Source organism: Homo sapiens, chromosome 16 (assembly GCF_000001405.40).
Source record: "Homo sapiens chromosome 16, GRCh38.p14 Primary Assembly".
NCBI lineage: Eukaryota > Metazoa > Chordata > Mammalia > Primates > Hominidae > Homo > Homo sapiens.
In genome coordinates this window covers 3768389-3792167 of record NC_000016.10, presented here as the reverse complement: position 1 = coordinate 3792167, position 23779 = coordinate 3768389, and the positions used below count along the sequence as shown (strand labels likewise).

Below are 23779 nucleotides of genomic sequence, written 5' to 3'. Positions count from 1 at the left end.
TATAATTTAGGTATAATTGAAAGTGTGACGATTTGGATAGAAAAATAACATCTCGTTGTTTTTCTGGTCATAGTTGCCCATTGTGCATCTTCACGACAAATCATCTCTCATTGGAAGAACTGCACACGACATGACTGTCCTGTTTGCCTCCCTTTGAAAAATGCCAGTGACAAGCGAAACCAACAAAGTAAGTGAGCACGGGGGCAGAGAAGCTTGGAGATGAGAATAGAAGTTGTTTCTAAAGAAAATTCAGAGAGTAGGTAGGGAGTGGGCAGGGGTTATGAGCCATGGAGTGCAGGGTGAGGTAGGGCGGACAGCAGCCCAAGGTACAGCCAAGCTCAGAGGGCAGGCGGGCTCTCCGTGTCAGGAACGGCTGTGATAATGTTGGACCCTGACTCACTCACTGCCTCTCCCTCTCCCTGCCCCCTGCATACATGCACTTGAAGCAGCATGGAACAGCAGAGTCACTTTGTTCACTGAGCCAACACGAAGACATGGTATTTCCTGACAGTTACTCCATACGTGAGAATTTAAATTCCATGTCGCTATAATGGCAGTGACGTCTTAGGGAGGGGGATAGAGGGGATACTTCTTTTGGAATTGGAAAGCCCTTATCCTGAAGTAAATTTTGAAGGCTCTGTCAGTCAGTCTGGGTCAGTATAAAATCCCACACAGACATTTATGAAGGTTTCCCTCTACGTGGAGCTATGGTCCCCAGAACTCTTTGTATAACTAAACGTTCACTCTGCTTCACAGTGAGAGCCTCTGCCCTAGGGCTGCTGCATCCTGATCACCCCAGTCGTTTTGCCGTTGTCTAGGTTGTCTGTAGCCCTCGGCACGGCTGGTTACGCAGCGATCCCTGCTTGTTGGGAGGTCCGCCTGGGGCTCTGGGGCTCCCTGCCATTTGTAGGCTTCAGGCAGTAAGAAGGATGAACCTCCCTCCCGTTTTTCAACCATCTTCCTGTCATTTTAGAGGTAAAACTGTGGTCTTTGGGTGTGTCATTCAGTTTCGGACAGCTAGGAAGTGCCCTTCAGTCTCCTGTCCCCTCTGGCTGGAGCTGTACCCTTAGCGACCCTTCCAGCACAGCACAGTCTTCCTCATCTTCCTCCATCTCGTCTGTGCCATCTTGCCACCCTCCCCTGTTTTGTGTATTACGTGTTCATTCCTCTCATTCTTCTTGATCATCCTTCCTCAAGACCCCGCAGCTGCCTGGAGAACATGTGCTGCTTTTCTTTCTGGTTGTTTCTGAGTGGCCCAGGGAAAGATGGAAAAAGTGCTTTGTTCCTAAGAGTACTGTGGAGTGGCGTGCCAGTGACAGCCCCCGTGGTTTTCCTTTTACTGAGTCCAGCCCACCTCCCTCTGGCGGCGAGGGAGTAGGCAGCGAGCTGACGCTGACCCTGCTTCCTTTAAAGCAGGGTGTCCCTGTCATAGAGAAGAGAAATGCCAGGGTAATGGGGCCTGTTATCTGCCTCCCTACAGAAGAACCACAACGAGTTTCCTTTAAAAGCCAGTTTCCTGGCCAGGCGCAATGGCTCACGCCTGTAATCCCAACACTTTGGGAGGCCGAGGCGGGCAGATCACCTGAGGTTGGGAGTTGGAGACCAGTCTCTACTAAAAACACAAAATTAGCCGGGCGTGGTGGCGCATGCCTGTAATTCCAGCTACTTGGGAGGCTGAGGCAGGAGAATCACTTAAACCTGGGAGGTGGAGGTTGCGGTGAGCCGAGATCACGCCAGTGCACTCCAGCCTGGGCAACAAGGGCGAAACTCCGTCTCAAAAAAAAAAAAAAAAAAAAAAAAAGCCAGTTTCCTAAAAGTCAGTTAAATTATTCTTTGATTGACTAAAATTTGAATTAATAAACAATTTCCCTGGACATTTCTTATATAAAGTGACATTCTGGAATCCTGGGTCTTCTAGAACCAGATATTTGGGACAGTAGTTCTAATGGAATACAGTCTGTTTTTCCTCCCACATTACTGTAAAAGTTTTTTCTTTAGTATATTGTGATGGCTAAATTTCTTGTGTTTTAGGGCACATTTCAGTAATAGGCTCTTTAAGTGCCAAAATATTCATTGTCAAGTTTGTAGTTATACAATATTCTATGAATAATGAGCTAGAATTTTATTCTTAACTTTAATTTGGGGGTGTGGCTTTTTGAGGATCTTTTGTTTTTAGTACATACTACCATGACAGTTGTAAACTTTGGTGATTTCTCTTTTTAAGAAACACTTATGTGGTTTTTGTTTTAAAAGAAAAAAGAAGCGTATGTGGTTTTTTTTTTTTAAACCATCCTTATAACGGCCTGAGTGTTGTGAAAATTGATTCTGTGCATGCTCTCTCAAGTGGTAAACCACAGGTTTTCTACTAGTCAGAATGTAAGATATTACCAGGATGATTTTATAAAGTCACAAGGAAGATTTAGATTAACTTGCTGCAAGGTTTTGGTAGTTTTTTTTTACAAAAGTATGATTGACAAGGTTTCAGCAATATCCTTTTTGTAAATTTTATTGTTTTTTCTCTTCTCCCAAAGCAAATTATGCTTATCGTGTGTGAACTCTTGAGTTAGGAACCCAGAGAGGAAAATGTGAATCTGACCCTACGTTGGCTTAAGGTTGGGTTTTGAAGACAATATATATGTTAAAAATAACGTAAGGGTGACCTCCCTCAAAGGACCGAGGTAGAGACAAGTCAGTGCAATCAGCATTCTTTTCGAGGAGAATTGGAGCGCACCTGACTACTTTGTAGAGAAAGGTGGGACTTGGTGGAGCCCAGTGCAAACAGAATAACAAAGGAAGAACATTTCAGACAGTGGGGACAGTGTCTGCACAGTGCACAGCTTGTGAGGGCATGCATTTGACTGGACTGGGGTTCCTGTGCAAACGAGGTGAACAGAAAGGTGGACTGTGATGAGCTCCTGGAAGCCTCAGGGACTCTGCCGAGACCCACCTGTGCTCGCTCTGTGGAGACTGCCTTAGGGGCCCCGGGACTCTGCTTTTTAGGCAGTGTTTCCCACAGGCCAGCGCTGGTCTTACCTGATGCACACTTCCTTGGTCAGCACATGCTCCACTCTCTTAACTTCTGTGATTAATGTCTCTACTGAGAGAACCTTCCAGAATCACCTGTGGCGCTAATCTGAGGTTCTTTGAAATGAAGCCCAGACCATTGATTACCTTTTTGGCCTGTGTTGAGTTTTGTTTGGTTGGTTGGTTTGTTTTGAGACGGAGTCTTGCTCTGTCACCCAGACTGGCATGCAGTGGCATAGCCAAGTCTCACTGCAGCCTCAACCTCTCGGGCTCAAGCAGTCATTCCACTTCAGCCTCCTGAGTACCTGGGACTGCAGGCATCTGCCACCATACCTGGCTAATTTTTGTATTTTTTGTAGAGATGGGGTTTCACCATGTTGCTCAGGCTTGTCTCGAACTCCTGAGCTCAAGTGATCTTCCCACCTTGACCTCCCAAAAGTCCTGGGATTAGAGGCGTGAGCCACCGCGCCTGGCCTCATTCGATTTTTCCTTGAATTGTTTTTTAAAGATTCTGTAATCACTGATCTCGAGTTAACCATCCCTTATAGCAATATTCAATTTTTTTTGAATAATTAGGACTTGCCAAGATAAGTATCTTATGTCAGTCCTGGCATCTGACCTCCAGTAAATTCAGTGCACAGAGTGGCATGGTTGACTGGGCTTTGGGACCCGTGAGCAGGTTCCCCTCTTGGGGCTTATGCTGCCTCACTTGTGAAGTTCTTGCTGCTCAAAGTGTAGGCCTCAGGGAAGCCATAGAGGTGCTCCCAGGTTGTAAGCAATAAAGAAATTGGGCCCCCATTTGAGACCTCTTATATTAAAACCTGCATTTTTATAAAAATCCTGGGTGATTAGTGTGCACATTAAAATCTGAGATGCACTGCTCTGGATGCCTTGGAAGACCAGGTATCTGGGCCAGTGCTGGTGAGAGGGTTTGAGTCATTCTCTGAGAGAGAGACCAGGGGTTTTCCAACCTAGAGTCCCCCAGGGACTGTTGAAGCAAGTGTGCAGGGTCGGCCCCAGAGCCAGCCTAATGCACGCACTGTCCCGGCTGCGTCAGCCATGGCCCCAGCTGCTGCCCGGCATCTCCATGAGTGTAGCTCCCACTGCTTCACCTGGCAACATGTTCCATCTGTAGGTGCCTCAGATTGTTTAAAACACCTCCTTTTGGCCGGACGCAGTGGCTAACGTCTGTAATCCTTGCACTTTGGGAGGCTGAGTGAGACAGGCGGGTTGCCTGAGCTCATGTTCAACACCAGCCTGAGCAACACAGTGAAACCCCGTCTCTACTAAAATACAAATAATTAGCTGGGCATGGCAGCATGCGCCTGTAGTCCCAGCTACTCGGTATCCTGAGGTGGGAGGCTGAGGCAGGAGAATGACTTGATGAACCCGGGAGGCAGAGGTTGCAGTGAGCCAAGATCGCACCACTGCACTCCAGCCTGGGCGACAGAGCAAGACTACGTCTCAAACAAAACAAAACAAAACAAAAAACCAAAACAAAACAAAAAAAAAAACCTCCTTTTTTTATATGGAGTCAAGATCTCCGTCCTTTGAACTGCCACTCATCGAATAGCCCATCAGGTGCCCAGTGAGTGTGTGTGGAGCAGGCCCTTTGTTCACTTGAGGGCCCTTCAGAGATTTTCACCTCTTTTGACAGACTGTAGTGGGATGGGGGACAGCAAGGAGCAGAATCTGAAGGCTGTAGAGAGAATGGTGGGCTTGATTGACCCTGACTTAAGCACCAAAGGGTCGTGGGTGATGTGTTTCATCTGAACAGCTTTTCTCCTTGCTAGCAAGGAGCAGTGTCACTGCGCCAGTGTCACTTGGCTTCTGAAGAAAGCCTTTTGCTTGAGGGCTTGTGGCCGTGCCTGATAGGAGGCTGAGTCTCCAGCCTGGCAGTGCCTGGGTTCCCCTCAGTGCTTCTCTTCACTGTGGTGCCCCACGCAGTGCATAGGAAGGTGCCAGGTAGGAAGTAGGTCCTGGCCCACACAATGCCCGCAAGGTACGGTGGTGCCACCAGCAACTTTGTAGAGATGGCTGCAGGTCTGAATAAATTCTTTTTTTTTTTTTTTTGAGACGAAGTCTCACTCTGTCGCCCAGGCTAGAGTGCAGTGGCGCGATCTTAGTTCACCGCAACCTCCGTCTCCCTAGTTCAAGTGATTCCTGCCTCAGCCTCCCGAGTAGCTGGGATTACAGGCACATGCCACCATGCCTGGCTACTTTATGTATTTTTAGCAGAGATGGGGTTTCACCATGTTGTCCAGGCTGGTCTTGAACTCCTGACCTCAGGTGATCTCCCCACCCTCATACTCCCAAAGTGCTGGGATTACAGGCGTGAGCCACCTGAATAAATTCTAGCATTGCTTTTTTAGTAGAAATCTAAGTGTCTTGGTATCCTTGGGAATTTGGTTCCAGGACACCCCAGGTATACCAAAACCAGGTGGACTCAAGCCCTACAGCTGGCCTTCCCCATACACAAGTTTCGCCTCCCGCAAGCACTGTGTTTCTGGCCTGCGTTGGGTGACCCCGTGGCTCACTCTCGTGCTGGTGAAGCATCAGCTGTAGCAACTACTGCTCTGCTTCATGGTCTGTCTCCCCCTACCCTCACAAAGTTTGGAGATTTGATTCATGTCCGTTTTCACTGAATTTCCAAATGGAGTTCAGTTTTATTGAGGATGATTAGGGGCTTAAGTTGTCTGAGTAACTGAGTTCTTTGCATCAGCAACATAGACTGTACAGAAAACCTCTTAGTGGAACATTCCTTTTTTCTTTTGTTTTTTGAGACAGAGTCTCTCTGTTGCCCAGGCTGGAGTGTAGTGGCGCGATCTCAGCTCACTGCAACTTCTACCTCCTAGGTTCAAGCGGTTCTCCTGCCTCAGCCTCCCAAGTAGCTGAGATGACAGGCACGCACCACCACACTCAGCTAATTTTTGTATTTTTAATAGAGATGGGGTTTCACCATGTTATTAGCCAGGCTGGTCTCGAACTCCTGACCTCAAGTGATCCACCTGCCTCGGCCTCCCAAAGTGCTGGGATTACAGGCATGAGCCACTGCACCCAGTTACACTTGGCCGTACCCGGCCTCTTAGTGGAACATTGTTTGTGCATGAAGAGTGGCAGGTGAGTCCGAGAAAGAGCCTGCTATAAAACTTGGCCTTTTGTTCATAGGTCATAGGCTCCTTCTTCAGCAACATCAGAAGGGGTGGTGAGACTAGGGGATGTTGGGGAGCTTTAAAGAGGTAAATATCCGGGACAGGAGTGTTGCCTGATGGGCCCAGAAGAACCCAGCCACTGTGTTAGTGCATTGCAGGTGTGTTGTGACTTCCTAAAAGTTAGAGCTTTATGCTCTAGCGAGGAAAAAAGATGTAAAAATGGCCAAATGAGCACACGGCCTTGACATTGGAAGAAGTTAAGTGGCAATAATACAGAAAGGATAAATAGAGAAACTTCATCCTTAGGGATGCCAGGTAGATGGACCAATCTCCGTGCATTTCTGTTCAGTTCCAAGACACTCCATGGGCTGCGCTGCGAGGGCCCACGATGTGCTGGCCGCTGCGCTATAGCTGGCACGTCCCCTGGACTCTGCACAGCAGGTTACGTGGCCCATGTGGCAGGTGGTGAAGAGCAAAACCGAATTTGACATTAATCCCACCTTTCAGGGATGCACAGGGAACGTGACATGAGCCTGATTTTCCCTGTCCCAGGGTTCCAAGGTGCAGTTTGGGTGCATTAGGTGATTATTAGATAATCTGTTGTCCCTAGGCTCAGGGAATGCAGAGATTGTGCCCACACCATGTCTGGGAGCCTGGCAGAGTGTACTCACTGAGTCTGTCACGTGAGTGAGTGAATACACGAAGGGTCAGTGTCTAAAGACAAGCGGGTACAGGAGTCACTGTGGGATTTCAGAGAGGGATTGGGAATACCACCATGGAGCACTTGGAGCACCTTGAGGTTGCAGTACAGTTGATGGTGGCTTATACATAGTGACTCCCCTTTCAGTCAGCCATCACCCTGCAGTGAATGCCTGAGCACCCTTACCCTTCAGTATTTGTGTCATTTCATGTAATAGCATCATTTGGACTTCAAATTCAGCCATGCTTAAATGGCAGAGACCTTCTTTATTTGTTCATAATTAATTTCCTTTGCTTCTGAATTTTAGAAATGATGAGTTCCAAATGCTTCTCATAGGTATATTTTCTTTTAAAATAAAAATATAATAATGTTTACGTTTAGAAAATGAATGCCTCTAACACAAAATGCAGTGACCGTGTCAGCAGCTTCCGTGGGAGGCCTATGTGAGTATGAGGCGTTGGCTGCCCTGTAAGTGCTGTGAGCTTAGGAGTGGCATTCACTGTAAGGTGGGGCATTTTAGTTAAGTAGATGGCACTTGGGGAGGTGTGGATAAAAGAGAAATGTAGTAGGAAGAAGTCAATAAAGGGTTTACGGGAAATGGAAGGCTCCATACTTTGTTTCTTTTAAGTTCTTCTCCACAGTCCATCACCATGTGTGTTAAATATAGTGTAGCCCTGTTCTTCCTTACAGCGCAAGGTTGTAGAAAAATAAACTATCCTACCACTGTTAACTTTGATTTCTATACCATAGTGCTTCTTAAAAATGTAGGATGTCGGTTTCAGAAGTATGGTGGACACATGTTTAAAGTTTTGGGGAGTAGTAAGTATTAGAATACTTTTAAAGGTATTGTGCGTGACTTACTTCAGCTACACACTTGTCATAAAGTGCACCTTGGGAGTTGCTTTTCATTTATGTTAATGAGTGCTTGGTGTATGTAGTTGTGTCTGATGAGTGTTAATGAGTTGATCTGAATATCATTATTAGAAAAGTTAATAGTATGGAAAGTATAATTACCAGGAATTTTTTTTCACACATTTTAGTTTAATTAAGTTGCTCTGGTAGGTATTGGGTTTATTATAGGTGTGCTGATGGTTGAATGTGAGAATATTACTGTTACACATAGTGGTTGGGATTTGAAAGAAAGGCTTTGTGGTCGTGTTTTATGTATCAAAAATGGTGTGTTATAGCAACAACACTATAAGATGCTATTTTTAACATGACTCTAAAATTTGTGGAAGTTAGAAAGGAACTCAAAAATAGGAATAAATGGTATCATATAGAACTTCTGCCATATGATAAATTTTCACACAACAGCATTTGGGTTGTTGCGACAGATGAGGGGGCAGGCAAACAGGTAACAGGTGGGTAGGTAGGTGGGTAGATGAATTGACCTTGAAATGTCCAAGTTGATGCAAGTTTGGAGTTGTCTCTCCATTACCTTGGAAGCCCTTTGGGATGGAGCTCCTTATGTTGACACCAGTTTTTCCTTTAGTCTCCTGGGGTTAGCTAGCTGGATGGGGCAGCTTCCCTGCCAGCCAGCAGTGGGCCTCAGTAGCAGAAGCTGACTTTGGCCACGTGAGGCAGAGCCACCTCCTGAATATCAGAGGTGCTGAGGTAGCCCCTGGATAATAAGACCCATGCAGAATTGCGAAGCCTCACTCCAACCTTAATTTCAAACAGCTCAGTCAGTCAATCAATCAAGTACAGTATTTCTTGAACAGCTTCATGTAGCCGGAGAGCTCAGCATGGTGCTCTGCTGCATAGGAATCCCATCAGAAGGATATGTCCATGCTGTCATTGTTTGTGTATGTTTCAAGGACTTGCAATTATGTGATTTGGAAGAGCACATTATAGATTTATTAATCAAAACTGACCGACCAGGTATCATCTCTGCTCCTTCTCTTAAGCCCTCTGTACCTGTGCAGGTGAGCAGTGAAGGACAGGGTTGGGGTCAACAGGAGGGGGCTCCTCTGTTCATCTCAGAGGTGTCTGCTGGTCCCCAGAGAATCAGACGTTTCCCTTGTCATACATTTGCCACTCCCTGGAACTGACTTCTTGAGGAGTCTCTAGGTTTTAAGACATAATAATTTTTTTCAAGTGTTATCTGTGAGATTTTATGGTCTGTTGCATGCTAAGATAGAAACTTGACTTTTCTTTAACTTTTTGTTCCTCACTTACTGCTAGGCAGAATAAATGAGTCCTTCAGCACAGTTCCTTTCTCCCTAGGCTTGTTTACTGCTTTATGATATTCATGTGTAGTATTTTGATGAAATGTATTTGCTTCTCAATAGTTTTTAAATCATTCGTGGGCTTCTCCCTTTTACTTACCTCTCGTTTTTGTCTGTCTGTCTGTTTGTCGTTATAGCCATCCTGGGGTCTCCAGCTAGTGGAATTCAAAACACAATTGGTTCTGTTGGCACAGGGCAACAGAATGCCACTTCTTTAAGTAACCCAAATCCCATAGACCCCAGCTCCATGCAGCGAGCCTATGCTGCTCTCGGACTCCCCTACATGAACCAGCCCCAGACGCAGCTGCAGCCTCAGGTTCCTGGCCAGCAACCAGCACAGCCTCAAACCCACCAGCAGATGAGGACTCTCAACCCCCTGGGTAGGTGAAGGAACTCTCAACTTCGTTCTTACTTGTCCACATGCAGCAAAGGGAATGGAGTGATGGAACCCAAGGCAGTTTTCAGTTTGTTTTGTGTTTTTTACTACGGTGGTTGAAATAAAAAATCTCCCAGGAAAAAGCTGAAGTATCTGATGCAAGGAAAATGTTACATGCTTATAAAAAGAGCAGCATTTGCAAATGAAGCAATGTTTTTGTTGCTTGCTGTGCCACTTCTGTCTGGACGGTTTTCATAAAGAATGTGCCATGTGCCTCAGAATGCAGATCTCACAAGTCAGGATGCTGACTGGACGCCTCATGCTGACTGTTGTCATTTATTTGTTGGAGTACTTGTGTTTGCCAGTTTCTCACACATCTTGGTTAGGGTCTACCCCTCAGTTGGAAGTGACCAGCCTGGACTTCAGCAGGTTAATGACAATGACAGGAGTCCTGGAAACTCTTGGCTCAGGCTGCTGGACATGTCATGGTTTCTTTTGTCACCCCAGCCCATTATTTGCCAGCCTTTGATCGTTTGCTCACACATCGCCATGATTTTGCCATTTCTGCATATGGTTTCCTTAATATTTTTCTTTAAGTGGACACAGTCCCTTTACATTTAGGCTTAAGCTAAGCAGTGATGTCTGTGAAGTCAAGACTGGCTGACTAGTTGTGCTAGTTTTGTTCTTTCCCTAATAGAGTAACTATTTTACACTTAAAAATTACTCCTTAAAATATGCCCAGCTAAAGTCATCTTACTTGTTGCTTTCTGGAAAACAACTGCCCTAATGAATGTCTAACTAATACTGGCCAGGAGACTGAGTTAGAATCCTGAGACCCAAGTGTTAATCTAACTCCTCTCCTGTTGATGGTATAATTTGGGACTAGCTTAACCTTTTTTAGTCTCAGCTTTCGTTTCCTTTAATAGGAAGATTGTAGACAAATTGACCTCTATATTTTTTTCCTGAGCTTAATTTCTATGATTTTATTTTCTGATATTGGGGGTGGAGACACAGAGGTGTGTGTCAGTGCAGCTGAGTCACTCAGGAGCGATACTAATGAAGCAGAATGAAAGTAAGAGGCTGCATGTGGGTCATTTATAACTTTTTCACTTAGATAGCAGCTAACCTCCATAAACACACCTTACTTTGGTTACAAAGTAGAGTGGGGAGGGTGTCTACTGATTATTTGTGCACGTTGATTACCATTATTGAAAATATGACACTCAGAGTTCCTGCCGCAGTGCTTACTATAACTGGCCAGAATCACTTATTTAAATAACCACCAATTGTTTATATGGTGGCATGTTGGTTATCTGTCATCAAAACTTTGAAGTATATATTAAAATTTAACTGTTGATTGATTTCTTTTCTGTCTTTAAAGGAAATAATCCAATGAACATTCCAGCAGGAGGAATAACAACAGATCAGCAGCCCCCAAACTTGATTTCAGAATCAGCTCTTCCGACTTCCCTGGGGGCCACAAAGTAAGACCCTGTTTCAGATCTGAGTGACAGTCCAACAGGAGCATGGACTGAGAACCACACAAAACTGATTCTTTCTAAATGTGTGGCAGAGAAAATAGTTTAAATGGGGTGGTGAGGGGTGAATGCTGTTTTCCTTTTTTTCTTTAATTATAAATGTAGAGCAGATAATAGATTAAAACATAGTTTAAGTTTTATTTATTTACATCACTTGGCTCTCCTGACTTAAACTTTTAAAAGTCACATGTGGTGGCAGAAGAACCTTACTAGACAAAGTGTGTTTGAGTCACTTCAGTAGATGGATGAAGTGTCTTTATTTCCTCCTTAGCCCACTGATGAACGATGGCTCCAACTCTGGTAACATTGGAACCCTCAGCACTATACCAACAGCAGCTCCTCCTTCTAGCACCGGTGTAAGGAAAGGCTGGCACGAACATGTCACTCAGGACCTGCGGAGCCATCTAGTGCATAAACTGTACGTAACAGTTTTGCAGTTTCATAGATGTTTGATTTTATTCCTGTGTTGCCCATTGGCTACCAGATGACAGTACCCTAGGAGCCTATACAAGTCACGTGCTTATTTAGGGAGCCACTCTCACTGCTGGTAGAGTTCTGGCAGCCCTAGGCAGGCCAGAGATTCCCACACTCTATGTCCTCGGTGAGCGGGGGTGACAAAGAGAGCATTGGTGGCTCTGTACTGCCGAGGGGCACTGACTTGCAGCCCCTATCACCGAGGCAAAGACCCTCAGTGCAGCCCGGCCTTAATGTGCTTCTGCACTTTAGGCTGCGTGAGGGGGCTGGGGTTAGCTCAAGAGCCTCACCTTATTTTGTAGTTCCAGATTCTAGTTGTGGAGACCCCTCAGAATTGGAAAAGTTTAGAGTATAGATGGCATGTCATTATCACCTTACAGTTAGTTAACATAACGGAAAGTTAACAGTTAACTTTTTTTTTTTTTTTTTTTTTTGAGACAGAGTCTCGCTCTGTTGCTTAGACTGGAGTGCAGTGGCACAGTCTTAGCTCACTGCAACCTCCGCCTCCCAGGTTCAAGTGATTCTCCTGCCTCAGCCTCCCGAGTACCTGGGATTACAAGCACGTGCCACCACCCCCAGCTACTTTTTGTGTTTTTGGTAGAGACAGGGTTTCACCACGCTGGCCAGGCTGGTCTCAAACTCCTGACCTCAAGTGATCCGTCCACCTCAGCCTCCCGAAGTGCTGGGGTTATGAGCCACCGCACCCGGCCTTTTTGTTGTTGTTGTTGTTGAGAGAGAGAGACGGAGTCTTGCCAGGTTACCCAAGCTGGTCTCAAACTCCTGGCCTCAAGTAATCCTCTTGCCTTGGCCTCCCAAAGTGCTGGGTGGCATGAGCCACCACACCAAGCCTAACGTTGTTGAGCTAGTTATTTTAAATGAGCTAGACTTACATTCCCTTTGAGTTTTTTCCCTTCCTTATTTTGATCAAATTTTTTTTAGTAATAAGTAGTTTAAAAATTAGGGATTTGAAAATCGTGTTATTCTGGAAATGACCCAGCACATACTTGTTAATAGCAAAATATTGATGTGTTTGATGTGTAGATAAGTTGATAGGTCAGGATTGTCTCCAGGGAGTTAACTTCATTCATGTATTGACATGCGAGGCAAGAGAGGCTTGGCATTTCTCTCCACACTGTATTGCCACCAGAGATACATGATCCTGATTTTGTAGTGCTTATTTGATGGCATTGGAAGTAGCTTCAGGCCAGGTGCAGTGGCCCCCACGTGTAATTCCAGTGCTTTGGGAGGCTGAGGTGGGAGGATTATGTGAGCCCAGGAGTTCAGGCCAGCCGGGGCAACATAATAAAACTCCATCTCTACAGAAAATTTAAAAATTAGCCAGGCATGGTGGTGTGCACCTGTACTTCCCAGCTTACTTTAGAGGCTGAGGTGGGAAGATCATTGAGCCCAGGAGTTCAAAGTTGCAGTGAGCTATGATCATGCCACTGTACTCCAGCCTGGGCGATAGAGCAAGACCCTGTGTCTTTTTTTTTTTTTTCTTCTTTTTTTGGTATGGAGTCTGACTCTGTCGCCCAGGCTGGAGTGCAATGGCACGATCTCAGCTCACTGCAACCTCTGCCTCCCGGGTTCAAGCAATTCTCTTGCCTCAGCCTCCCGAGTAGCTGGGATTACAGGCATCCACCACCATGCCCAGCTAATTTTTGTATTTTTAGTAGAGACGGGATTTCACCACGTTGGCCAGGCAGATCTCAAACTGCTGACCTCAGGTGATTCTCCCGCCTCAGCCTCCCAAAGTGCTGGGATTACAAGCGTGAGCCACCGCGCCTGGACGAAACCCCATGTCTTTAAAAAAAAGAAGAAAAAAAAAAGTAGTTTGATAGATGTGTTATCCTTTCAGCGTCCAAGCCATCTTCCCAACACCTGATCCCGCAGCTCTAAAGGATCGCCGCATGGAAAACCTGGTAGCCTATGCTAAGAAAGTGGAAGGGGACATGTACGAGTCTGCCAACAGCAGGGTAGGTTGCTGTTTACCGTGCTCTGGCCTCTACAGCATCTGTAGTAGACAGCACTACATTTGTCTGCTTTGTTATCTGGAAATAGTGGAATCTATGTAGTTGGGACAGACTCCTCCCCTTGAGGCCACTGACCAAGGAGACTTCCCAGATAAGACACAAATCTCCTGCAGAACTCTCTTGATTAGCTACATTGGTGCATGGAGTATATAAATTTACATTATATCCATGGGATATATTTTTCATAGTAGGTGGTGTTGTAATATTGTTAGCATCAGTGAATATTCAAGAAGTTCATTTGAATGAAATGGAACATGTATTAAGTACCTACTATTTGATATGTCCTATAAAGTCATTGGGAATTCAGCAAGAATGTGGGCTTCTGGTGTATCAGGTATTTGCATACTACTTTTGCCAGTGTACTCAATGAGGAAGTTCATTAGTTAGAACCTACAACACAGATCATTCAGTTGCTTTTTACAGTTTTAACTGTTTCATATTGAATATTATTGCTTTTTAGGATGAATATTATCACTTATTAGCAGAGAAAATCTACAAGATACAAAAAGAACTAGAAGAAAAACGGAGGTCGCGTTTACATAAACAAGGCATCTTGGGGAACCAGCCAGCCTTACCAGCCCCGGGGGCTCAGCCCCCTGTGATTCCACAGGCACAACCTGTGAGACCTCCAAGTAAGGATTTTATTTCCTACTGCCATCCCTTAGCCTGTTTCCTTGGTTTTCCTTCGTGTTTGGGGTGTATTTCTAAGAACAGAGAATTAGAATATCTGATGCATGCCCTGCAGAAGCTGTTGATGTGGCAGTGGCCCTGACCACCTGCCTCAGGCTGTGTTGGGACACTGAGTTTCTCTCTTGGGAAGGCCCTTTACAGGGTGCGCTGGCATTGGAACACACGTGCTTTTGGACCTATTGGCTGTTTTCCCTTTTAAGTTTGAAGTCCTAATAAGAAATTTCCTATTCCTGAATCAAGGATTATATTAAATAACTAGGGTGGTTTTGTTTTTGTTTTTGTTTTGCCACCATAGATGGACCCCTGTCCCTGCCAGTGAATCGCATGCAAGTTTCTCAAGGTATTGAACTGTTTGTGGTGAATCATATTTTAGTTTTACATTCAACAGCCATAACTTTCACTGTTTTTTCCTCTCCCCCTGTATATTTCTTTCTAACCCTTTCTTCTTTCCATTCCTTTTTGCTGATAAGCAGAATTCAGTTCTACAGGTAGTATGGATATGTTTATAGTATGAAGTTTGGAGATTATAGGAAAGATCTTCCAAGAGATAAGAAGCAGTATTTAGCTATTTATTTATTTATTTATTTCTATTTTATTTTATTTTATTTTTATTTTTTTGAGATGGAGTCTCGCTCTGTCGCCCAGGCTGGAGTGCAGTGGCTCCATCTTGGCTCACTGCAAGCTCCGCCTCCTGGGTTCACACCATTCTCCTGCCTCAGCCTCCTGAGTAGCTGGGACTACAGGCGCCCACCACCACGCGTGGCTAATTTTTTGTATTTTTAATAGAGACGGGGTTTCACCGTGTTAGCCAGGATGGTCTTGATCTCCGTGATCCGTCCACCTCAGCCTCCCAAAGTGCTGGGATTACAGGAGTGAGCCACTGCACCCGGCCTTAGCTTTTTATTTTACTTTATTTTCTTTTCTTTTATTTTTTTGAGACAGAGCCTTACTTTGTTGCCCAGGCTGGAGTGCAGTGGCACGATCTGGGCTCACTGCAAGCTCCGCCTCCCGGGTTCATGCCATTCTCCTGCCTCAGCCTCCATAGTAGCTGAGACTACAGGCACCTGCCACCACGCCCAGCTAATTTTTTGTATCTTTTTTTTTAGTAGAGATGGGGTTTCACCATGTTAGCCAGGATGGTCTCAATCGCGTGAACTTGTGATCTGCCCACCTTGGCCTTCCAAAGTGCTGGGATTACAGGCATGAGCCACTGCACCCGGCCAGCTTTTTATTTTTTTAATGGATGGTGAAGGGGGTGTGGTACGTTACTCTTAGGAAGAGTCCGAGAAAGAAGCACCCTAGATGTGGGGAGGGAGTGCTTCTGAATGCTGAGAAGGAGAAGCATGCAAGACAGTCCTAGACTGCTGAGCACTTGCAGAGGCTGAAATGGGGACGGCACGGGCTGCTCTTGGCCCTAGGGGTTAAGCCCAGCTGGCTGGATGTCAACTTCTGGAGAGAGTGTACACACAGGTCCTGTGCCAGGTTGGGGTGTCAGCAGCTGTCTCAACAACCTTGAAAGGTTCTTAAGTAGAGAGCCTCTGGTTTTTGGTTGGTTGAAGCAGTGATTTTTATTTTGGGGCAGGGAGCATTTGAAAACCCTGTAGCTCTTGACCATTGAGACCCAAGCAGGAGGACATTTTTCCAGGTTGTGAAACAAGGTGGTGACATTATCCAGAAGACTCTAAGGAAAGAGGCTTTGCTCAGGCTTTGATTTTTGAAAGAAATCAAGGAGTCAGGCTGGGCACAGTGGCTCACACCTGTAATCCCAGCACTTTGGGAGGCCGAAGCAGGAGGATCACTTGAGGTCAGGAGTTTGAGACCAGCCTAGCCAACATGGTGAAACCCCCGTCTCTATTAAAAATACAAAATTTAGCCAGGCATGGTGGTGCACACCTGTAATCCCAGCTACGCGGGAGGCTGAGGCAGGAGAATTGCTTGAACCCAGGAGGCGGAGGCTGCAGTGAGTTGAGATCACACCACTGCACTCCAGCCTGGGCAACAAGAGCGAAATCTCATCTCAAAAAAAAAAAAGAAAGAAATCAAGGAGTCAGAGAAATTGAGCCTTGGGAAAGTGGCTGGATGCTGTGTTGGGGATTGGTCCAGGACTTCAGCCTGGATAGGAAGATGCTGCTGGTGTGGGGTATGATGCCCCTGCTGTTTACCAGCAGAATATTGGAATAGATGTTTTCTAGTTATGCACTTAGCAACCTCCCTACCAGCACATCTGGGTAAATACAGATTTCTTTAAGTGCTGTTCCTTAGTAATTGTTTTTCATTTTGTTTAAAAAAATTCTCAAGGAGTGGGGAAGCTTACATTATAGACTCCCTGGAAAGTCTTCCTGGTCTGCATCGGCACTCCGTTATTTGAGGGTACCATTTCTAGGTAGCCATTGAAGGTAGTGCTCCGTGAGTCATCCTTTGAGCCTTCTCATGACTACAGCAGCGCTAAGGCAGCACCTTCCAGAAATTCTCTAAAGGGTTCTGTCAGATTCTAGTGTTGGTCCTAAGACTAATTTGAACTGGTGCTTCTTTAGAACTCAGAGTTTACAGAGTATTATTGGAAATTGGAAGGAACTAGACACCGCAGTCTGGAGACACTTACTGGCTGTGAAGTGTCTTTCAGTGATGTGGTGTTCCTGTAAACTACAGGAGGCTAAGGTTGAGGACGGCTGACCCTTGGGCACTTCTTAATGCTTAAGGTGCTTGCAAAATTAAAAGAACATTTGGAGACTTAGCACAGATTCTAACAATGAATGTAAACCCAGCAAGGAGCTGGGAATCCTCGGATGATGGGCGTCAGCTGCTCCAGAGGCATTAGGTATGGGTGTGCACAGAAGCTTGCCCTGGTCTCTGGAAACATCTCTTCTGTAGCTTGTGAGGGTGCTGTCCTTTCAGGGCACCTCCTCACCCTCTTTGTTGCTATGACACTTTGGTACTGTGCCCTCTGGCTCAGCTCTACCACAGCCTCGTTTAATGTCTCACTTGTTCCTGTCTTACCCAACCTTATGCCTTCATGTCCTCGTCCTTCCCTGGTACCCCTCACCATGCCACCGTCACCACCCCCACATTGATGCCGTTTTCTCTGGATATGGAGAAGTCTGTTCCTTCATCATCTTCATTGATTAATTGGGTGATTTCTTTTCAGTTTTCTGTTGCCTGTGCGTTCCATCTTATTTTACTTAAGAGTTTATTTAGCAAGTTGTAATTCTGTTTTCCTGTGGGTGCTTTTCCTAATGAACCGTTGTGGGTACATTTACAGGGATGAATTCATTTAACCCCATGTCCTTGGGGAACGTCCAGTTGCCACAAGCACCCATGGGACCTCGTGCAGCCTCCCCAATGAACCACTCTGTCCAGATGAACAGCATGGGCTCAGTGCCAGGGGTAAGTGTTCTCTTTCGCTGTGCTGCAGATAGCCCTCCCTCTCACATGGAACATTATCTAAGCAGCAGAATTCATGTCACTTGAGAATCCTGTGGTTCTTGTTCCTTTGAATTTGGGTTATGCTTTATTTCTTTCATCTCTCATTTTAAAAAAATTATTACTACACAGAATTATTTGACTGTTAGTTATTTTATTGGAATAACAAATTCATAGGAATGTGTGGCTTTGTGAGAATGTGGGAGTTCCAAGGCTGGAGAAGGCAGCCTCAGATATGTGGCCAGCAGGGAATTGTCAGCATCTGTTGACTGAGAGCTCGCTGTTCCGAGGCTGCTTTCTAAACACTTTAGAGAACTCATAGGCATGTCTTAAACTTTAAATTATAGCCTGCTATTGATTTCTATTCAGAGGACATTTTGAAGCTGGCTCATTTGAGAGATTGCCTGAGAAAGTGTGTAAGGTGCCCAGGAGCGCGGGAGTTCTTAGCAAGTGGTGGTCTCTTCCCATGAGGAAGGGCAGGATGTGAGCCCTGTGCTTGCCATCCTCTGGGGTTGTGAAGCCTTGGATCATTCTGGCTCACCTTGAAAACTCTGGCCGTCAGCTTCCGAACTACAGCTCTGGTGGTGCTTGTTGTCTCGTAGATGGCCATTTCTCCTTCCCGAATGCCTCAGCCTCCGAACATGATGGGTGCACACACCAACAACATGATGGCCCAGGCGCCCGCTCAGAGCCAGTTTCTGCCACAGAACCAGTTCCCGTCATCCAGCGGGGCGATGAGTGTGGGCATGGGGCAGCCGCCAGCCCAAACAGGCGTGTCACAGGTACTGTGCCCCACTGGGACCGTGGCTCCCTAGGAAATAAAATTCTTGTGTTAAGTTTTGGTTTTTTTTTTCTGTCTTCCTTCGTGGAAATTAAAATTCCAGAATGCACATTTCATGTCTTTGTATCAGCTTCTCTTTGTTTTCTCCACCTTTGTCCTGTAGTCCTTAACTCGTTTGGAATTTCTCTTATCCTTTCTGGGTTAACTATATGCAAAAGTGGGAATGGATTTAGAATTTTTGGTTTGTATGCTTTTGTGTTTTGATCTTTGAGTTTTTGTTTTCTTATTTTTTGTTTGTGTATTTTAAATTCTAACTTTAACGTGACCCTGAGAGGCATTAGGATTTTAAAAAGCGAGTGAGAAGGACCCATGAATTCACTCTTGATGATTTGGCTTTTGTTTCTTTTGACCTGTCTCCACTGCCAGGTGAAATCAAGCTAACAGAATCATTTCAATAGTTCCCTTCTTGTTAAATGTTTTTAATTTCTCAATCTAGAGCTGAAGAAATTGATTTTCCATTTATTCCTTCCTTTTTTCCTCTTTTGTTAGTTGTAGTGCGTATCATTGCTACTGTATACAAAATATACATGTATTTAAAACACACCAAATCCTCCCTAAAAGATAAAATTCTTGTTTTAAGTTTTTTTTTGTTTGTTTGTCTGTTTTAAGACAGGGTCTCGTTTTGTTGCCCAGACTGGAGTGCAGTGGTACAATCTCGGCTCTGCAACCTCCGCCTCCCGGGTTCAAGCGATTCTCCTGCCTAAGCCTGCCAAGTACCTGGGGTTACAGATGCCCGCCACCACACCCAGCTAATTTTTTTTTTTTTTTTTTTTTTTGTATTTTTAGTAGAGACGGGATTTCACCATGTTGGCCAGGCTGATCTCGATCTCCTGACCTCAGGTGATCCACCCACCTCGGCCTCCCAAAGTGCTGGGATTACAGGAGTAAGCTACCGTACCCAGCCTTGTTTTGAGTTTTTAATGTGAAATAATGCTGCATAAGTCATTATTATATATTAGATTTCCTCACTAAATGATTATTCTTAACTTTCCATAACATTTCATTTCTCTAGAACAAGGATTAGCAAACTTCGTGTAAAGGGCCAGATACTAAATATTTTCAGCTTTGCAGGCCATTCAATCTTGGTTTTCATCACTTCTGTTCTTGTAGTGCAGAAGCTGCTGTGGTACATAAATGAGGTGGCTGTGTGCCAATAAAGCTTTATTTACAGAAACAAGCAGCTCAGTGTGTTTGCCCTGGGAGATTGCCAACCCCTGCTCTAGAACAGTGATTCAGAATCATTTTTAAAATGTTCACAAATAATTCTGAAGTGTATCCCCAGTATAGAACCACTGCACTGAAACAGTTCTCTTTCAGTAACTAACGTGTGTGTGTGTGTGTGTGTGTGTGTGTGTGTGTGTGTTTGTGTTTCAGAGAGAATTTTTTTTTTAAATTTTTAATTGTTAAGGGTACTTATGGATGTATATATTTATGGTCAATAACTTTTATTCTTATTTTTATTTATTTATTTTATAGTCCCCAGGGAAGAAGCAACTTAAAAAAAAAATACCTTTTTCTAAGCTAAGCTTAGAAAATGTTAAAGAACATTGGGTACATGTTATAGAACATGAAGCTTATAGGCTGGGTCAATGTACAGTAGCTCCCCCAATCTGTCATTTCACTTTCTGAGGTTTCAGTTACCTGGGGTCAACTGTGGTCCAAAAATATTAAATGGGAAATTCTGGGAATAAACAATTCATAAATTTTAAATTAATTAGCTAGGCATGGTATTGCACGCCTGTAATCCCAGCTACTGAGGAGGCTGAGGCAGGAGAATCACTGGAACCCGGGAGATGGAGGTTGCAGTGAGCCAAGATCATGCCATTGCACTCCAGACTGGGTGACAGAGCGAGACTCTGTCTTTTTTTTTTTAAAAAAAAAAAAAAAAAGTTTTAAATTGAGTGCCATTCCAAGTTGCATGATGAATTCTGTCACCATCCCACTCTGTGCCCCCAGGGATGTGAATCATTTATTTGTCCAGCATTTCCACACTGTAGACACTACCCACCTCTTAGTCACTGAGTGTCCACCTTGGTTGTCAGATCCAAAAATCTTGGTAAATATTGGGTTCAGTACTATCCGCAGTTTCAGGCGTTCCAAGACTGGGGGTCTTGGAATGTATCCGAGTGGATATGAGGGGACTGCTGTAGATGTGTGTGTTTAAGCCATAAGTTTCAATGGTTGTTTTAATTATATAAATCAGACTATAAGAAACGTGTGTAGTTTTACCGTTATTGAGGAGTGCCCATTACAAGTGTATAGCTCGATGAATTTTCACAAGCAGAACACTCCCAAGAAAATGTGATTAAATTCCCATACATTTGGCTGGGCGCGGTGGCTCACGCCTGTAATCCCAGCACTTTGGAAGGCCGAGGCGGGAGGATCACTTGAGGTCAGGAGTTTGAGACCAGCCTGGACAACATGGCAAAACCCGATCTCTACTAAAAACAGAAAAATTAGCTGGGCGTGGTGACGGGCACCTGTAATCCCTGCTACTCGAGAAGCTGAGACAGGAGAATTGCTTGAACCCAGGAGGCGGAGGCTGCAGTGAGCCGAGATCGCACCATTGCATTGCAGCCTGGGCGACAAGAGTGAAACTGTCTCAAAAAAAAAAATTTTTTTTTCATACATTTAATTTTTCAAATGTTTCATCACATTTTCAAACGGGGGAAATAATTTTACCATACTCTGTCCATTTCTGGTAGGGACAGGTGCCTGGTGCTGCTCTTCCTAACCCTCTCAACATGCTGGGGCCTCAGGCCAGCCAGCTACCTTGCCCTCCAGTGACACAGTCACCACTGCACCCAACACCGCCTCCTGCTTCCACGGCTGCTGGCATGCCATCTCTCCAGCACACGACACCACCTGGGATGACTCCTCCCCAGCCAGCAGCTCCCACTCAGCCATCAACTCCTGTGTCGTCTTCCGGGCAGACTCCCACCCCGACTCCTGGCTCAGTGCCCAGTGCTACCCAAACCCAGAGCACCCCTACAGTCCAGGCAGCAGCCCAGGCCCAGGTGACCCCGCAGCCTCAAACCCCAGTTCAGCCCCCGTCTGTGGCTACCCCTCAGTCATCGCAGCAACAGCCGACGCCTGTGCACGCCCAGCCTCCTGGCACACCGGTAAGCCTCTCTGTCTCTGCTGTTTTTGGGCCAAGACTCTTAGAAGATAATTTTCCCATAAAAATTGTGTGTCAGGCCAGGCGCGGTGGTTCACACCTATAATTTCAGCACCTTGGGAGGCCAAGGTGGGAGAATCACTTGAGCCCATGAGTTCAAGACCATCCTGGGCAACATAGTGAGACCTCGTCTCCAGCAAAAAAAAATTTTTTTTAACCAGACAAGCATGGTGGTGTGTGCCTGTAGTCCTGTAGTCCCAGCCACTCAGAAGGCTTAGGTGGGAAGATCACTTGAGCCTAGGAGGTACAGGTTACAGTGAGCCAAGATCACGCCACTGTACTCCAGCCTGGGCAACAGAGCGAGACATTGTCATCTTTTGTTTGTTTACTTAAAACTCCATTGAGGCTGGGCGCGGTGGTTCACGCCTGTAATCCCACTACTTTGGGAGGCTGAGGCAGGCGGATCACCGGAGCTCAGGAGTTCGAGACCAGCCTGGCCAAAGTTGTGAAACCTTGTCTCTACAAAAATATAAAAATTAGCCGGGCATGATGGCTGGTGCCTGTATTCCCAGCTACTCGGGAGGCTGAGGCGGGAGAATCGCTTGAGCCTGGGAGGCAGAAATTGTATCGAGCCGAGATTGCGCCATTGTACTCCAGCCTAGGTGACAGAGTGAGACTCCGTCTCAAAAAAAAAAAAATTCCATTGAGTAAGAATTTGCAAATTAGGAATTCTTTTAGTGGTTCCTTCGTGTAATGTTCATTTACTCCACCAGCACCCGTGTTCCTACCGTTCACACAGGCTGGGTAACACTGTCTTTGGGTAGGCACTTGATTTCCCTCCCTTCAGATGTGCTTAGGCATTCATAATTCAGCCTTTTACCATACACATTAACCACCATATTGAAGGGAATTAATTTCAAAATATGAGATTTCATGATTTAGCTAGAAAACTTCGAGAAAATAAATTTATGTCAAAGTTTGAAAAGCTCTGCTGTTTCCTCTGCCTTTGTGGCAAGACCTGAGTTGTACCTCTGGCTGCTGTTACCTCCCTCTAGAACTCATTCCTACTTTAACCCCTGTTCTTCGGTTTCACAGAAGGGCACCTGCTGGATCAGTATTGAGAAATGTTAATGGGAAATTGTAGGTTGCATGAGCAGCATAGTTGAAGATCATTTATGTTACCTTGCTTACTGAAGTCAGTGCTTTCGGTTTTTTCACAGCTTTCCCAGGCAGCAGCCAGCATTGATAACAGAGTCCCTACCCCCTCCTCGGTGGCCAGCGCAGAAACCAATTCCCAGCAGCCAGGACCTGACGTACCTGTGCTGGAAATGAAGACGGAGACCCAAGCAGAGGACACTGAGCCCGATCCTGGTGAATCCAAAGGGGAGCCCAGGTCTGAGGTGGGTGCCGCTCCCTAGGAATGCATTGACTGCGTATCGCAACTTTACCCAGGTGTCCTCGGGCGAGGCTTGGAGCCTGCCATGGGTATCCCTGACTTTAGTTAAAATATTCTGTTTGAATGTGGGTTCGGGGTTTGGTGTATAGGAAATTGATTGAAAACAGCTTGGTTTTTCATTTTTAAATATGAGGGGTGGGTTTATTTTGCCCGAAATGAAGAATACTGGCTTATATTTGAAATACTTGAATCATCCAACAGCCTTTTATTTTATGTTCTCCATTCATTTCTAGTTCTGCAGAGGTAGACTACAGAAGGGGTGGTGGATTCATTTACTAATTAACCTATGGCAGAAGCTGAAAGCTGGCAGACCGTGGGCTGGATCCAGCCTCTAAATGTGTTTGGCCCACACAATACCTTAAAAATCAGGAAATTGCAAATAAAACTCTAGATTTCTGGCTTTTCTTGAAAAATGAGATGCTTTCAGCATTGTGCCTGCATCCCTGTGTGACAGCAGTCTGGTTGTGAGCACCAACTGTAGTGGGCTCTCCAATTAGCCACAGTCCCCACTGCTCCTTCCTGTCTCATACCACACCTGCCTCTGAGAAGGACTTTTGGTCCCTGCCCCAACTTTCAAGGAGATTTTTATTCCAAATTAGAAATATCTGTAGTGAAAAATCTGAGTATGTGCAATTTTTAAAGCAGTTTTACATTTAAAAACTTTTAAATTAGGCTGGGAGCTGTGGCTCACACCTGTAATCCCAGCACTTTGGGAGGCCGAGGCAGGTG

At 45.4% G+C, this 23779-nt stretch overlaps 1 protein-coding gene across 10 annotated transcripts in view, besides 3 other annotated features; it reads left to right on the top strand.

The window, feature by feature from the left end:
- Positions 1-23779, top strand: part of CREBBP (CREB binding lysine acetyltransferase) — a 155660-nt gene that overhangs the window by 88546 nt on the left and 43335 nt on the right. For 4 of the 10 annotated variants that reach the window (XM_006720848.4, NM_004380.3, XM_011522381.3 and 1 more), the window contains 11 exons: positions 74-187; positions 9242-9484; positions 10862-10964; positions 11290-11436; positions 13351-13468; positions 13986-14157; positions 14511-14555; positions 17475-17599; positions 18238-18417; positions 21182-21598; positions 22815-22994. In XM_006720848.4, coding sequence (XP_006720911.1) covers positions 74-187; positions 9242-9484; positions 10862-10964; positions 11290-11436; positions 13351-13468; positions 13986-14157; positions 14511-14555; positions 17475-17599; positions 18238-18417; positions 21182-21598; positions 22815-22994 — 1844 coding nt within the window. The remainder of the gene's footprint in view (positions 1-73; positions 188-9241; positions 9485-10861; positions 10965-11289; positions 11437-13350; positions 13469-13985; positions 14158-14510; positions 14556-17474; positions 17600-18237; positions 18418-21181; positions 21599-22814; positions 22995-23779) is intronic. The other 6 variants (XM_017022944.2, XM_047433624.1, XM_005255124.5 and 3 more) reach the window with 6 other exon arrangements.
- Positions 3883-4182: an enhancer, noted in NCBI's record as "active region_10335". NCBI's record gives its function as "activates an Ori minimal core promoter by ATAC-STARR-seq in GM12878 lymphoblastoid cells {active_cell/tissue: GM12878}" and the evidence as "EXISTENCE:reporter gene assay evidence [ECO:0000049][PMID:35858748]".
- Positions 4253-4312: an enhancer, noted in NCBI's record as "active region_10334". NCBI's record gives its function as "activates an Ori minimal core promoter by ATAC-STARR-seq in GM12878 lymphoblastoid cells {active_cell/tissue: GM12878}" and the evidence as "EXISTENCE:reporter gene assay evidence [ECO:0000049][PMID:35858748]".
- Positions 11298-11357: an enhancer, noted in NCBI's record as "active region_10333". NCBI's record gives its function as "activates an Ori minimal core promoter by ATAC-STARR-seq in GM12878 lymphoblastoid cells {active_cell/tissue: GM12878}" and the evidence as "EXISTENCE:reporter gene assay evidence [ECO:0000049][PMID:35858748]".